Source organism: Homo sapiens, chromosome 14, assembly GCF_000001405.40.
Source record: "Homo sapiens chromosome 14, GRCh38.p14 Primary Assembly".
Classification (NCBI taxonomy): Eukaryota; Metazoa; Chordata; class Mammalia; order Primates; family Hominidae; genus Homo; species Homo sapiens.
This window is the reverse complement of record NC_000014.9, coordinates 52,530,058-52,546,886: the sequence shown is the minus strand read 5'-3', so window position 1 is coordinate 52,546,886 and position 16,829 is coordinate 52,530,058. Positions and strand designations below refer to the sequence as shown.

General features: G+C 35.3%; 1 protein-coding gene across 5 annotated transcripts in view; it reads left to right on the top strand.

Moving 5' to 3' along the window:
- Positions 1 to 16,829, top strand: part of TXNDC16 (thioredoxin domain containing 16) — a 121,910-nt gene that overhangs the window by 5,619 nt on the left and 99,462 nt on the right. For all 5 annotated transcript variants that reach the window (XR_007064038.1, XR_007064037.1, NM_001160047.2 and 2 more), the window contains exons 2-6: positions 2,516 to 2,623; positions 3,257 to 3,489; positions 4,434 to 4,516; positions 9,215 to 9,288; positions 10,094 to 10,168. Coding sequence is in view for 3 of the 5 variants with exons in the window: in NM_001160047.2 (NP_001153519.1) it covers positions 3,330 to 3,489; positions 4,434 to 4,516; positions 9,215 to 9,288; positions 10,094 to 10,168 (392 nt within the window). In the remaining 2 variants the exon portion in view is untranslated. The remainder of the gene's footprint in view (positions 1 to 2,515; positions 2,624 to 3,256; positions 3,490 to 4,433; positions 4,517 to 9,214; positions 9,289 to 10,093; positions 10,169 to 16,829) is intronic.

Here is a 16,829-nt window from a genome sequence, read left to right as displayed (position 1 = left end):
CTTAGCTCCAGTCTCTGATAAATGTTTCCTTGAGCAGGCCCAGAACAGTTTCTATGCTGCTTGGCCCCAGCCAGTGTTTTGGAGTTTTCGTTAAGGTGGCATCTCACTTCTAGTTTATATGCAGCTTAAGAGAAAATAGTTTATGCTGCTATAATAACCCCTGCCATCTCAGTGACTTAAAACAACAAGGTTTATTTCTTCCTATGTCACATGCTTATTACACATTAGCTGGGAGTTCTCTGTTATGCTCATGCTCACAGAATAGACAGCATTTGGGCATTTCTCTTGACTGCAGCAGAAGACTGTAAAGCCTGGCTTTATTAACACTAACTGCCGAAACTGTTGCCTGAAAGAGACAGATGCCACTTTTGCTCACATTTTATTGGCCACAGTAAGTCATCTGGTGGTCGTAACTAACTCCCCCAGAGGTGGAGGATGGAGGGAGCTTAAGTGTAATTAGTAACTGCAAGGAGAACTAGAACTATAGTAATGAACTATCACACCGAGGTAACAAGGCCGCATTTCTCTGAAGGTACTCATCACTTGGTTCTGATATCTAGATTTTTGTAGTATTAAGTTTTTGTTTGTTCGTTTGTTTGTTTGTTTTGTTTTTAGGCAGGGTCTTCCTCTTTCACCCAGGCTGGAGTGCAGTGGCATGATCATGGCTCACTGCAGCCTCAATCACGATCCTCCCGACTTAGCTTCCCTGGTAGCTGAGACTACAGGTGTGTGCCACCATGCATGGCAATTTTTTTTCTTACTTTTTATAGAGACAGGGTCTCTGTGTTGTCTAGGCTGCTCTTGAACTCCTAGGCTCAAGTGATCTTCCTGCCTCTGCCTCCCAGAGGGCTGGAATTGTAAGCGTGAGCCACCGTGGCTGGCCAAGTATTGTTTTTCATTCCCTTTTCTAATTACTGGAGGTAAAAAAAGAAAAAAAAAAGTCACCAAGTACCTTTTGTATCTTTGTTTTCACTCTGCTCTTGCTGATATTCTTTTTCCCCACCCACATTCCCTTGCCTTTAGTTAAGATCTTTTTATGAGGACAGCATGTCTCTGAGCAAATGCATTTTATTTTCCATGCATGTGAAATGTCCACTCTTCCATGGTCCTACAAGGTACATATCCTTCCCCTACTCCCTTTCCCCTCTTTCTTCTTCCTTAGAGCCAATTACTTTCAACTGCTCACTGTTTGTTTTGGCATTGACCGTCCTATTTTCAATAAACTTGGTTTTTGGTTTTGCGAAAGTTGAAAATTTAGTTCTCTTTCATTTATTTTCCCACCCTAGCTGCATGTTTCCTTATTTTCTATCTTCCCTTTCTCTCAACAGTTGTTATGGTTTTGGTTAAATCATTATTCAGTATTTATTTCATTATGAAGACATAAATTCTACTTCTAGCTGACCCGTGCGGTATTCTTTGCTTTAAGTAATTTTTAAAATAATCAAATCTTACCATAGATGGAACAAACTACAGAGATTATTACTGAGTTCCTAACTCTAAACATGTAAGAACAATCACCAATGTCTCTAACCGATTAAAAGCACAGTGCTTTCACATATATAATCTTGTTTGGCCAACGAGATAGGAAATATGGGAAAGTATTTAAGCATTGGCTGTATGGTTAGACCTTTGGTGCTACAAAATACATTCTAGGTGAAAAGAGTAATAATATGTTAACACTGATGTCCAATTTAGTGTTAAAATGGTTAAATTATAACCTGGAGGCCAGGAAAGATGATATTCTATACTGGAATCTTTCACCTGTGCTTTTCATGTTGTACAGTTTAATTAGGTTATAGTTATTTCATATATAGTAATGAATGTTACATAGTTATTCTCTTAGCCTCAGAAATGCATGCATTTTCTCCAGAATATGAAGAAAATAGTGGATGACCTATTTTAAAACATCCCTATTAATATAAAGTAGCTTTAAAATAGGCTGGTTTAAAATGGTTATAATGTATAATCAATTTTAATGTCAATGATACCCCTTAATTATGCCATTAAAATTGCATTTTTATATACCTCTTATAGTTCTTGCTTCTCATTTTACTTTGAGTTTTTGAACTCTTGACTCATTATTAAAAATTGATGGCAAATTTTTTCACTGTTTGATATATACTGCCTCTGAAGAACAGAATTATTAGGAAATAACCAATGAGTAATTACTTCATTTTTTTTTTCAGGAACACCGGCTTGTTAGAGAGAGATATTATGTGCTTATTGATAATATTGAATGAGCAGAGTAAATACTCAATTTAATATGATTTTTCATACATTTCAAATTCTTTATTATTTTATTCTTTGCTGAAAAATTCTACTTTTATCCTTATGAGTATATAGAAATAATCTATTGCTGTTTTTTCCTATTGCCTATTTTGAGATAGTGAGCTTGCATTTGAAAGAGATGGGTCCTGTTTGAAATTTTAAAAATACTGAAACAAAATTTTCACCTACAGCTATGACTGTTTTTATATTATACTAATTTTTCTAAACTTTCTTCTTTTAAATGTAGATAACATAGATCATCAGTAGAAAACTTCTTGAAGTTGTTCAAGAAAAATTTGAAAGTAGCAAAATAGAAAATAAAGAATTAACAGCAGATACAGAGGACAGCATGGAAGTAAGTACGCCAAGAAAGAAGATAAGAGGAGGATATCTAGAACAAATTTGATTTCAGAACATAGAATTGAATTAAAGTATGAGTTGAAAAAGATATTTAAATTTTTAAGCAGTATAGAGAAATCTAAGGGTTAGGCATTACAAATTATGTATATTTAGAAGGAATGTTCTTCCATTGTTTTAATAGATTTCTTCTAGGGGATTTAAAGTAAAAGTAAACATATTAGGCATATTTTGGCTGTTTCACTCCCATCTAAATGGTATTAAATAATTATTCGATTATTTCTTATAATCAACTATAGGTAAAGAAAAACAAAATGCCCAATTAAAAAATGGATTGGTTAATGTTTGAGAATTAATTTTAGAACCCTTTAAAATGACAATTAGCTTAACACACTCTACTAAATTGAGCATTTTCTAGGTAGTTTTGATATCTTTTGCAAGTATGAAAAATCAATAGTATTTTCAAGTCAATGTTGTTATATATTGTCCCCCCTCAAATTTTTATGATATAGTAAAGTACTAGCAAAATCAAATGATGTGACTAATGACTTTCTTTTTGTAGATTTTACTTCATTCATTCATTTAACAAATTCATTCAACAAACTCTTGTTGAATACCTTCTCTGTGCCAGGTGTTGTCTTAGGAAACAGAACACAGCAGTGAAAAAACAGACAAAATCCGCTCAGATACAACTGCAGCTGATAATGTTTTCCGGCTTCAATGTCTTTAGAGTTGGGATCTCTTTTGTCATAATGTGCATTTTTTACATGCCAACAGTAAACTCTTTACCAGAACTGAGTCCTCAGAAATATTTTAGTACATTGCAACCAGGAAAAGCCTCTTTAGCTTATTTTTGTCAAGCTGGTAAGTATTTTTAAAATTCTAATATGATTCTTGTGATGTTTTTATTGCTATTTAATCAGTAAGTTCAGTGGGAAATTTCTGTTAAGATTAATAATATGTGCTATATAGCTGTTACTATAATATGTCTGACTGGGTTTGAATCCGGCCCGTGCCGCTTGTCCTGTGGTGTGACCTTGGTTAAGTCACTTAGCTTTTCTGTGTTTTTCTTTCATCATCTGTTCAGAAGAAATAGTACTTTATAAGTTTGTTGTGAGGATTAAATGATTTTACTTATATGCTGAGTTCATAGTAAATACTAGATAAGAGTTAGCTACTAACATAACATCTGAAAGAATACTTTCTCATGTTTTTAGCGTGTAACTATTTTAAGTTTTTTACAACTTTAAATGTAATGCTTTAGATTAATACCCTGCTTTAGCTGTATTGTTAATTATACTGAATTAACTAATATAACTATTGAGCATAACTAATAATTTTTTTAATAGTCAAATTCAAGTCTTCATGTCTTAAAAGTACTATTCTTGGAATTAATAAGTGAAGTGAGTATACACATTTCTGTTGGCTCCCTTATTATAATTGTGATTAGAAAATGATATTTTAAAATCATTTTGAAAGTTTTTGTATGTGTACATGTGTGTTGTGTATATGGTATTAAACTTGGAGGAAGAATGCCAAATGTTAGGTTTAAACGAAACATTTATTATATTGTTGTTTTAGGAAGTTTTTAAGGTCCATTTACAAAGTTAAAGTACATCATGATAAAAACAGAAATAAGAATAATGAGGCAATAGTAAAATAAGGGTGTGAAAATATGTAATGAGATATGTTTAGTTATTTGTTGTTGCATGCTAGTTGGACAAATGAATCTATTCTGTGTTTGCAGATTTTAAAATTCATTTTTAAGGGGCAATTCATAAACATTCATGAAACATTTGTTGTTTTAGATTCCCCAAGAACATCTGTATTTCTTGAAGAACTGAATGAGGCTGTTAGACCTCTGCAGGACTATGGAATTTCAGTTGCCAAGGTAGAAAGATATTTATGTTACTAAAATATTAGTGACGAACATCTTACAACTTTATGGCTTAAGATTGAATATCTTAAAATACTTCCATTTCATATCTTTTTCCAAACTGGAAATATATTTTTTTCATAAGAATAAACAGAAGCCCAGAAAGATAGTTTCAGGTTATTGCATAACATACTGCATATAGAGGGGACAAAAAGCTGTTTAAAAATTTTTAGCTTAGAATTTAACTTTATGTTATAAACCATTCTATTGGGCCCATGGTATCATTTTTCAAACCTATAGTTAGGTTTTTGTTCTGTTTTGTTTTGCCTAATGAATATTTCATAATAGGTAGCCACAATTCAGCTGTTTTTAAATTTTTATTAGCACAAACTGAAGTAACAAAATGGAGGTAAACAAATAATTTTTTTCTGTTCTTCTAAGTCTTTATAATTGTTTATGTTTCACTTTTTCGCATTTATTTTTAGAACAAAGTTATAACGACTCAACATTACATACTTAATTTTTTTCTCAAAAAATGTTCAAATTTGCCATAGAGTATTATAGAAAATTTCCACATGCATCATGGATTAGATAGATATGTAAGCCTTTCATTTAATTTAAACTTAGAATTTATATATCAGACAACTGAATGAGGGGTAACCCAGTGATACTAAATTCTTTCTGGTTAATGTCTACCTGACTTTCTGTGTACATTTTTTCTTAATTCATTAGCCTTCCTCTTCTAAAAGATGGCTATGGTCGCTCTTGGTCTCTGCAGCTAGAGTTCCCAGAGCAGACAGCATAGAAACATTGACTAACATTGGCTGTATACCTTTAAAAAATATCTATTTTTTAAATGTGTCAATTCTGTACGTATAGAGATCTCAATTAACTTTGAACAACTGATTTCACTCTAGAATGATAATGGCAATCATCTCCAAGGATCTCTGAATAAAATTTTAAATTGAAACTTAGAAATGAAGTAGTAGGTTGGTAGGAAACTCAAAAGGGATAATCATACTGTTTAGTAACTGGTAGACTGTCGCTAATAACTATGCATATAGTAACTTGAATAGAATGCTAAGGTTCATGCCCAAGCTGTTGCCCTTATGGACGAACATAACTGAAACTCCTGATTTTTTTTTTTTTGAGACAGAGTTTTGCTCTTGTCGCCCAGGCTGGAGTGCAATGGGACAATCTCGGCTCACTGCAACCTCCGCCTCCCAGGTTCAAGCGATTCTCTTGCCTCAGCCTCCCCAGTAGCTAGGATTACAGGCATGTGCCACGATGTCTGGCTAATTTTTATATTTTTAGTAGAGATGGGGTTTCACCGTATTGGCCAGGCTGGTCTTGAACTCCTGACCTCAGGTGATCCACCCGCCTTGGCCTCCCAAAATTCTGGGATTACAGGCATGAGCCACTGCACCCGGCCTGAAACTCCTGATTTTACAGTGAGAATGCTGAGCTCTATCTGGAAAGGAGATAGTGGCAAATGAGATAAACCTTTGTTGAGTGCCTAGCTCAGTTCCCACCACCCAGTGCTGAGTAAATATTTGTGAGATAGAAATGAGCTTACCATATTTAATCTTCTTTTGGATAGAAAGATGACTAAGCCCCTGTCCTTTTCTTTGGAGAGTTTATATCCTAAATAAGGAGGATAAAACACATTCACAAGTCATTTTAATAACTAGCAGAACCTGATCATTGTAATAGGAGAGATACAAATAAAGTGCCATAGAAGTTTTTTTTCTTCTTTTTTTTGAGACCGAGTCTTGCTCTGTCACCCAGGCTGGAGTGCAGTGGCACCATCTTGGCTCACTGCAACCTCTGCCTCCTGGGTTCAAGCAATTCACCTGTCTCAGCCTCCCAAGTAGCTGGGACTACAGGCGCATGCCACCATGCCTGGCTAATTTTTGTAGTTTTAGTAGAGATGGGGTTTCACCATATTGGTCAGGCTGGTCTCAAACTCCTGACTTCGGGTGTTCCTCCTGCCTCAGCCTCCCAAAGTGCTGGGATTACAGGCATGAGCCACCGCGCCTAGCCCATTGAAGTTTAAAGGAAAGAAAGCCTATATTTGATTTTTGAGGTGGAAAGTCACAGATGTATTGGGAAAGAGTTCACAAAAAGCAGCATTTAAGATTGTTTTCAGAAGATAGCAAGAGGCAGGATGAAGAAAATGCTAAAATATAAATGGGCTACGTATTCTAGTCAAGACAATGAATGTCAAGCTGGATACAATAACCCAAGAAAGCTGTATGCTATTTAGGGCTATATGTCTTGCCTTAAATGTGTCCTTCCTTTTCTACCTGGTTACCACCTACTTGTTCCATAAGATTGAATTCGGAAATAGTGCCTTTCTCTGGGTTATCTCATGCACTTGAATATGTGAGCAATTATAGCATACAAATCAGAAAAAAAACGTAAAGTACAAAATTTGACCTGAAACAAGCTGTAATGTTTAATTCTCCTTCTTGTTTCCCTAACCAATGATATTTAGAAATGCATCCAAAATAAGGGTTTCAGAAATCTTCAAAGTAAAGGAAGGAAAAAAAAGATATATTATACAAGTGATAACCAGAAGAAATCTAGTGTATCAAAGTAGATTTTAAACAAAAAGCTCTGTCATCCTTGACTTTTCTTTCTCTCATAAGTAATCCATCTACTACTTGGTTCTACTATGAGAACTTTTCAAATCTGACCACTTCCTATACCTTCATTTTTACTTCTTCCTGCCATCTCTTCTCATTGGGGAAACCACAATAGCCTCCTAATAATTGGCCTTTCTTCCTTCACTTTGTCCCATGACAGACTCTTCTCCATATGTAGCCAGATGTATCAGGATACATCACTACCATGCTGCGAAAGTCCTTTCATTCCAATTATGATCAAATAGAAACTTTTGAGTGTTGTGGACACTGGCTTTGTCTCTGATCTCATTTTCTGACCCTCCACTTTGTTCAGTTCGTTCTTAATACATAGTGGTCATCTTTCTGTTATTTGAACCTGCTGGAGGTGCTGTTAACCACAGGGCCTTTGCAGATATTTTCCCCTCTGCTTAGAACTCATCTCTTATACTTATTTGTATACTTTTATGCATTACTGCATTTCTTCAGTTCTTTGTGCAAATGTCACTTTTTCAGAGAAGCCTTCCTTGATTACCTCTCTAAAATGCCCTATCACATGCTATTCCCTTACAATTTTTTTATTTATAGGACTTAACACTACATATTAATTAGTTTTCAACTTGTCTCTACCTTACATTGTTCTAAAGCTAAATATTTTTATTTGGAACTTACCTGTACCCAAAGTGACTAGAACAGTGACTGACATGGTAGATGTTCAAATATATTTTGAATTGATGAATGAATGGACACATCTATTGTCATAATACCAACCATCCTTATGCTGTAACTTAAAAAATTTTTAAAATTACATATATTAAAATTTACTTTTTGGTTATGGCTATAGTCTGACTTTAATTCTGATTCTCTATTTCTCGTTTCTTAGTGTCAGTTCCTGTTTTGTAGCCTTTTAAACAAACGTTGCTTCCCCAGTTCTTCTTCTTCTTCCTCAAATCCCATTAAAATTAAATTGAACAACAGGAAAACCCCCTCTTAAGAGAAACAAAAGCCTTACCAAATGCAAAACAAAATAACTATTCTTCTAGCCTTAGTTTTGGTTAGTTAACATTGGTGGCTCTCCATTTGCCCCATCTAGAAACCCCTTCATTCTTTTTTTCTCTTTCCTCTCTTCCTCTATCTCAATCTGCATATACATGCTCAGTCTTCCCCCTAGTTGTATGTATTGTATTTGTAAAAAGCCTTTTGTATGTCTTCTGTCCTTTTTGGCTTTACTTCTCATCCAAGTCATCCATGACCTACGCTAATGTGATATTCTTTTAAACTCTCCTTATCTTTGTGTTCTTTTGCTTTCTGTTTATCTTCATGTTGTTGCCAAGATTGTTATTATATATTTTTTTCACTTAGAGTTCAGATTATAAGCTATCCAGGGCTGGTATGGCTGCTCTGACATCATCATTGACTTAGTTCATTCTTTCTGTTGTACCATTCTTTGCAAGTAGCTTCTTTAAAGATGCCTTATGGTCCGTGATTGCTGTTGGTACTCCATCTGTCTTACCTATTTTTGGTCAAGAAGGAGTGAAAAGAGCAAAAGTATCAGTCAGCCCACTTTTAAGAGCCTTTTAGGAGTTTCAGCCCAGTGACTCCTCCAAACACCATTTAGCCATTGCAGGCTGTTGGGGAGGTTGGGAAAGCCTTTTAATGAAACACTTGCTTTTAGCAAAGTTCTGTTAGTAAACAAAAGGGAAGGATGGATTTTGGGTGGGAAACCAGCAGTATCTGCTATCTCTGTGTTCCACTTGCTGAGATGCTTTCATCATTCCAAGTTAGCACTCACTTTTGTGCTTCCTGGCTATTGCTCATACTTTTTGTCTTGCCTTAAATGTGTCCTTCCTTTTCTACCTGGTTACCACATACTGGTTCCATGAGACTGAATTCAGAAATAGTGCCTTTCTTTGGGTTATCTCATGCACTTGAATATGTGAACAATTATAGCATACAAATCAGAAAAAAACATAAAATACAAAATTTGACCTGCAACAAACTGTAATATTTAATTCTCCTTCTTGTTTCCCCAACCAAGAAACTTGACCTTTTGATATATATGCTAAAACTTAAGTATACTCTTTTAAAGGTTAATTGTGTCAAAGAAGAAATATCAAGATACTGTGGAAAAGAAAAGGATTTGATGAAAGCATATTTATTCAAGTAAGCTATTTTCCTGAGTGTGCTGGACAAATACAAAGCTATACTTCTAGAATATTCAAATATGTAAAATATCACTGAGCTAGAATAAAGTCATATGTAGGGGGGATCATGTAAAGCTTAACCAAAAGTCCAAGTAATAGATTTGTTACCTAACCTCTCAGTACTTTAACTTCCTTATTTATAAAACAGAGAGTAATACCTACATCACAAGGTTGTTTGTGAGGCTCTTGTGTAAACTCCTACAACAAATGCCTGGTAAGCAAGTGCTTACCAAATTTAATGTTCTGGGTAGATATGTCAGGTCCACATTTGGGTGTGAAATAAATGTGCTTTATTTTTGAGAGATCTGCCAATCTCTCTGCACTTGGGTTTGATCTACCTGAGGTTTCTCAAATCCTTGGGATTTGGCCGAAGAAGTGGGGAGAGGTCCTGTTTCCTCAGGGACCTTCTGAGGACACTTCTTTTTCCTTCTTGCCTTCTTCCCAGCCCAATTTGGGGAATGTGTGTGTGTGTGTGTGTGTGTGTGTGATTGTGAGTTGGGGAGACTGGTAGGAATCCTTGTTTGGACTCCTATTTTTTTCTAGCCTTTTTGCCAGGTACAGAGCCTAGGCTTTTCAAAGTTAATATATTTATTGAGAATGTATTATGTGCCAGGACGCTGGTAGGTATGTGGAGTATGTGGACAAGACACAGCTGTAACATCAAAGACCTTATAAGCTAATGTATTTGATAGACAAGTAAATTGAATTCTAAGGAAATATTTTTTGTATTTTTCAATATTAATATGTTTTTAAACTTTTTATAGGGGCAACATATTGCTCAGAGAATTCCCTACTGACACCTTGTTTGATGTGAATGCCATTGTCGCCCATGTTCTCTTGTAAGTACAGGGGCTACACATTCATTTGTTTACTTGTTACTTATCTGTTGATTTCATTTTAAATAACCACAATTCATTAAAATATTTCAGGGTTTTAACATTATATTTGTAGGCAACAATTTAACACAAATTACTAATCTATCTTCCCACATCGAGGATCTAAAAAATTTTTTAATGGCAAAGGATACAGAAGCATGGAGATACTTTTATAAGAGTAGGAGATGACTCAACAAAACCACATCGAGTGAGGTCTAACTGGAGGAGTGAGGATTTTGCCAGGTATCTTAGTCTGTTCAGGCTGCTATAACAAAATACAGTAGACTGGGTAGCTTATAAACAACAATGAAACTGGGTAGCTTATAAACAACTGTGAAATTTATTTTTCACAGTTATGGAATCTGGGACGTCCAAGATCAAAGTACTGGCAGATTTGGTGTTGGGTGAGGGCCCCTGGTTTATAGCTGGTCATCTTTTCCCTGTGTCCTCACATGATGAAAGGGATAAAGGAGCTCTCTCAGGGTCTCTTTTATTAGGGCACTAATATTCTTGAGGGCTCTGCCCTTATAACCTCCTAATATCATCATACTGGCAGTTAGGATTTCAACATATGAATTTTGGGGAGACATAAACATTTAGACCATAGTACCAGGTAGGAAGCTCATCTTTGTTTTTTTTTTGTTTTTGTTTTTTGTTTTGAGATGGAGTCTCACTTTGTCTCCCAGGCTGGAGCACAGTGGCGTGATATTGGCTTACTGCAACCTCCACCTCCCAGGCTCAAGCGATCCTCCCACCTCAGCCTCCCGAGTAGCTGGGACCTATAGGCATGCACCACTCATCTTTGTTATTCTCACTGGGATTTTTAAAGTACCTGGCTTTCTTCTTATCCCAGCTGGGTTTCTTTCTGGATTCTCTAGCTCTGGGCTTGCTCAGTTAGTACAGAAAGAGTTTGTCCCAACACATACCTCAGTGTTTACTGAGAGAAAGTTTAAGTTTTCTGGCCTGGAATCTCCAGGCCTGGTATTTAGGTCTATCTGGGGTCCATTCTTGGACTCTTCCCCTGAATTAAGTCTGATATTCTCTTTGGTAACAGAGCTAGAAAATATGACTTGTTAAGGACACAGGTTTACATGGACTTTTCTAATTTAATGTTATAAGCCTGTTGTCCACTAAGACCTTTGCTGACATTGGCTGTCTTTTTCTGCTTGGGTCTCCTCTTCCTCTCTCACCTACAAAAATTGGTAGTTTAACTCCTGGAAATTCAAAACTTACAGGTGAAAAGTTGTGCTTATCACTTTACAAATGTTCCAGTCCCAATAATATGTTAACAAAAGGCCTTTAGAAATTCCTGACAACCATGGGCCCTGATACTTGTAGACTAACGAGCCAATCGTAATGAGTGAAGATGGTCTTTTGAGGAAGGAATTCCTTGGAATCCCTTTCCTGGGACAGAGGGGTAGCTATCTTGATGGTGGGGGTTCTGTGAAGCTTAGCAAAAAGTCCAAGTAATAGATATGACATTTGTTCTCAGGAAGCTTACTAGTTAGCAGCTGTTTTTCCGGTGGATACCTGATGACTATCTTTGACCCAGAAATGGGGGTGAAGAAACAGAAAAAGAAGTCTTTTCATAAAGAATGAATCCAAATTTGACACCAAATCCTGGAGTGGCATATCCACATTGAACAACTTGATGACAAAGTGGTTTTGAAACAGCTGGCCCTAGATGTGGAGAGGACCGAGGACCCTGTTATCTAAACTGGTTACTCCGTGAGGCTCAGCTCATTCAGTCCTGCTTTAGTAGTGTCCTGTTCTTAGTGCTGTACTAATGCTGATTTATAGAACACGAATTCCACAAATAGATTATTCCCCATGTTCCTGCTGTGTGCCAGACACTTGTTAGACATTGGCTATAAAAAACAGAATAGGATGTGGCTTCTGTTCTGTAGGAATTTAGTGTTGCACAGACAGATAAACAGAAAATATTATTAATATGTGATAAGTAAAATAGTAGAAGTATGTATGCATAAGGGCTAATGGATCCACAGAGAAGGGAGTAGTTATTCATGTCTAGAATGAGGGTGGATATTTATTAAGTGGGCTTCCTGAAGGAAGTGGCAGTTGGGATGAATGTTAAAGGGTAAGTGCTTGGTGAAGAAGGGGAAGGTGAGAAAAGCAAGAGGAACTTTGTGACAAAGGCATACAGCAGCCATGTTCAATCTTTTTTTTGGCTTACCTGGGCCACATCGGAAGAAGAATTGTCTTGGTCCACACATAAAGTACACTAATGATAGCTGACGAGCTTAAAAAAAATTGCAGAAACATCTCATAATGTTTTAAGAAAGTTTACGAATTTGTGTTGGGCCATATTCAAAGCTGTCCTGAGCTGCATGCAGCCCATGAGCCACAGGTTGGACAAGCTTGTCATAGAGGTTAGAAGTAGTTGGGAGAAGGTGGTGGTTTTGCCAGAGTATAAAATGTGAAGCAGGAGATAAGAGTAGAAAAGTAGACATGGGGTCAGAGGAAGGGAATTTTTGTTTTCCCTCTGTATAAGTTTAGGCTTTTGGGTAACCACTGAAAAGTGAGGAGTCCAGCTGTAGGCCAAAATCCTTATGTGATCTTTCAGGCCTGATCATATGCAATATTCCAAGGCTATGCCTGACAAACCTCACAGGGGGAAGCTGCCCTCACCATACCACACTTGGCACATAAGCAGTACATTGCAGTTTTCTAGAGAAAATTGAGGTCAAGGACATAGGCCTATTCCTCTCCTAATCCTTCAGGCCCCTATGCTTATATGTGCATCTGCATTCCTAGCCCCGCTACCTCCATTTTGAGGCCTCCTTACCAGAGCCCTTGGCTAAGGTGCTTTTCTTATCTTTGAGTCAGGGCCTTTCCGCTCTTACCCCACACCCCTTTTGTTCCCTCAAGTCCATGGGTCCATAAAGAAGTGGGGCCTGTTGTTTGGGACTCCTTGGAATGAGATGATACCTTGTGTCTGCACTGTATCCACCTGACCCTTGCCTGTGGTCATTCCAAGGGATGAAAAATTTAACATTGTTGAGCCAGCACCTCTCTTTTTTGCATCTTGTTTGCACTTTCCTAGTAAGTAAATGAAACCTTGATTATTACTTTTGGTTTGGCTTGTTGTTCTGATTGACTACTTTAACACCTGATTGCCCAGCAAAGCGCTGTAGGCAGGCAAGTGATGTGATCAGATTAGTATTTGAGAGATCTTTCTGGTGGATGTGAGATATGTCTATGGGGTTTGAGCACATGTATAAACCATTCTGTGACCGTTGTATAATCTAGGGAGGTAGAGTAGATACAGCAAAGGGGGGATTTTCTTTTTAATGCTTAGGAGGTAAAATTAGCTGGACTTGGTAATGGTTAATTTGGTAACAGTAAAACTACAAACTTGTTAATTCTTGATCTCTTCTTTCCTACCTCATGCTACCCAGCTCTAGTCTGATCACCATCTGAAATAGGCAAGGAAGAAGAGCAAATTTACAGAATATGAGTCTACTTTAGCAAGTGGAAAGTCCATCATGCCTCAGTCAGGCATCTATAGGAGTTTGAGCCCCAGAGCATTGTACATCCAGGTGTTGTCAACATATAGGTCAGCCAGGGAGCATCCTAGGGCAATACCACCATTTAAGAGAAGAAACTGAGAGAAAAAAAATAAATATCAAGGAAGTAGAATTCCAAAGAGGCAGTGTCCTCATTTTTGTTTAAAATGTGAGAAAATGACTTATGTAATACAGTGTTTTATAAAATTTCCCAGTAACGATATTTACAATGTTAAAGAACTATGCCAAACAGTATGCTGTCCCTTAGCTGTACCTTGCAAATTGCCATGAGGAACAACCTATCTTCTTACTTTTGGATGCTAAAACCATCAGTTTGAAATACCCAGTTCCTGGCTAGCAGTTTTTTTTTTCTGTTGTACTCTTACAGTTGCATACTACTCATAAAAATAGATTTGAACTGGCTGGGTGCGGTGGCTCACGCCTGTAATCTCAGCACTTTGGGAGGCCGAGGTGGGCAGATCACGAGGTCAGGAGATTGAGACCATCCTGGCTAACACGGTGAAACCCTGTCTCTACTAAAAATACAAAAAATTAGCCGGGCGTGGTGGCGGGCGCCTGTAGTCCCAGCTACTCGGAAGGCTGAGGCAGGAGAATGGTGTGAATCCGGGAGGTGGAGCTTGCAGTGAGCTGAGATCGCGCCACTGCACTCCAACCTGGGTGACAGACTGAGACTCTGTCTCAAAAAAAAAAATAGATTTGAACTGTTGCTTGACAACTTTTGTCCATTTTTAAATTATGTTTTAAACTTGATTTATTTTGAGATGGGGTCTTGCTGTATTCCCCAGGCTTGAGTGAACTGGCAATTCACAGGTGCAATTATATCACACTGTGGCCTCAAACTCCTAACCTGAAGGGATCCTCCCACCTCAGCCTCTGGAATAACTGGGAGTACAGGTGCACACCACCACACTCAGCTTAAACTTTATTTTTATTAATTTCTAGGAGCTCTCCTTATATAAAGCACAAACTGTAAAAATTTTTCAAGTTTTTCATTTGTCTTTTGAATTTCCCTATTGTGTTCTTCAAAAAATTATGTGGTCAAATTTATTTTTTCTTTTTGACTTCTGGATTTTAAGTTGTACTACCTTTCCCTTATTCCATTGTTATAAATGAATTCACCCATTTTTCGGATTTTTAAGAAACAAAGTCTTAGACTTTGAGCAGTTTTAGATGTACAGAAACTTGAAAAATTTACAGAAATTTGAGCAGATAGTACAGAAAATCCCAGTATATCTCCTCCTTTATATATAATTTTCCCTATTATTAACATTTTGCATTAGTGTGGTACAGTTGTTACAATTGATGAACCAATATTGACATATTATTGACTAAAGTACATAGTTTACATTGAAGTTTCACTCTTTGTGTTCTACATTCTATAAGTTTTGACAAATGTATGACACATTTCTACCATTAGTGTCATACAGAATAGATTCACTACCCCCAAAATGCTCTGTGCCTAACTATTCATCCCTTCCTCTCTCCCCTACAAACCACTGATCTTTTTACTATCTTTGTAGTTTTGTCTTTTCCAGATGTGATACAATTGGAATCATATAGCATGTAGCCTTTTCATCTTGGCTTCTTGCACTTAGTAATATGCATTTAAGGTTTCTGCATGTCTTTTCATGGCTTGATAGTTCATTTTTTAAATCACTGAATAATATTCCACTGAATGGATATATCACAGTTTAACCATTGACCTACTGAAAGACATCTTGGTTGCCAAGTTTTGGCAATTATAAATGAAGTTGCTATTAACATCCATATTTAGGTTTTTGTGTGGTCCTAAGTTTCCAACTCCTTTGGGTAAATACGAAAGGAGTGTGATTGCTGGACTGTATGGTAAGATTATGTTTAGTTTTATAAAACGTTGCTAGCTGCCTTCCAAAGTGGCTGTACCATTTCGCATTCCCACCAGCAATGAATGAAAGTTCCTGTTGTTCCACATCCTTGTCAGTGTTGTCAGTGTTCCATATTTTAGCTAGCATAATAGGTATATAGTGGTATCTCTTTGTTGTTTTAATTTGCATTTCCCTGATGACTTATGATGTGGAGGATGTTTTCATATGCTTATTTTCCATCTGTCTATCTATGATGAGGTCAAGGTCTTTGGTTCATTTTTTAATTGGGTTGTTTGTTTTCTTGTTGAGTTTTGTATATTTTGGGTAACAGTGCTTCATCAGATATATTTTTCACAAGTATTTTCTCCCAGACAAGCCAGTTTGTTGCTTGTCTTTTCATTCTTTTGATTCTAGTAGTGTTTTAATGCTTTTTAAAAATATATGCCTGCATACTTAAATTTATTACTGGAGATTTTATATCTTTTTTTCTATTGTAAATGAATTTTTTCTTCTGTTATCTTCTAATACACAGAGACATACTGACGTATACAGACATATACTGATGTGTTCTTATATATGTAAAAAATATACATCTTATCTATTATGCAAGAGGTGTAACATATATACACATATATATACCTAGGTATTTTTTATATATATGTATATACACACACATATATATACTACATATTATATATATTATATATAATAATTATATATTATTATATATAATATTATATAATTATATATTATATTATTATATATAATATTATATAATAATATATATTATATTATTATATATAATATTATATATAATAATATATAATATATATTATTATATAATAATATATTATATATTATTATATATAATATTATATAATAATTATATATTATATTATAATATTATATATAATATTATATAATAATATATATTATATTATAATATATAATTATATATAATATAAAAATAATTATATATTATATATTAATATTATATATAATAATTATATATTAAATAATAATATATATTATATAATATATATTATATATTATTATATGTAATATTATATATTATTCTGTATAATATAATATATATAAATATAATATATTTATATATAATATAATATATATAAATTATATATAAAATATATGTAAATTGTAATATGTAAATATATATAATATAAATATATATAATATATAAATGCATAATATAAATATATAATATATAAATAT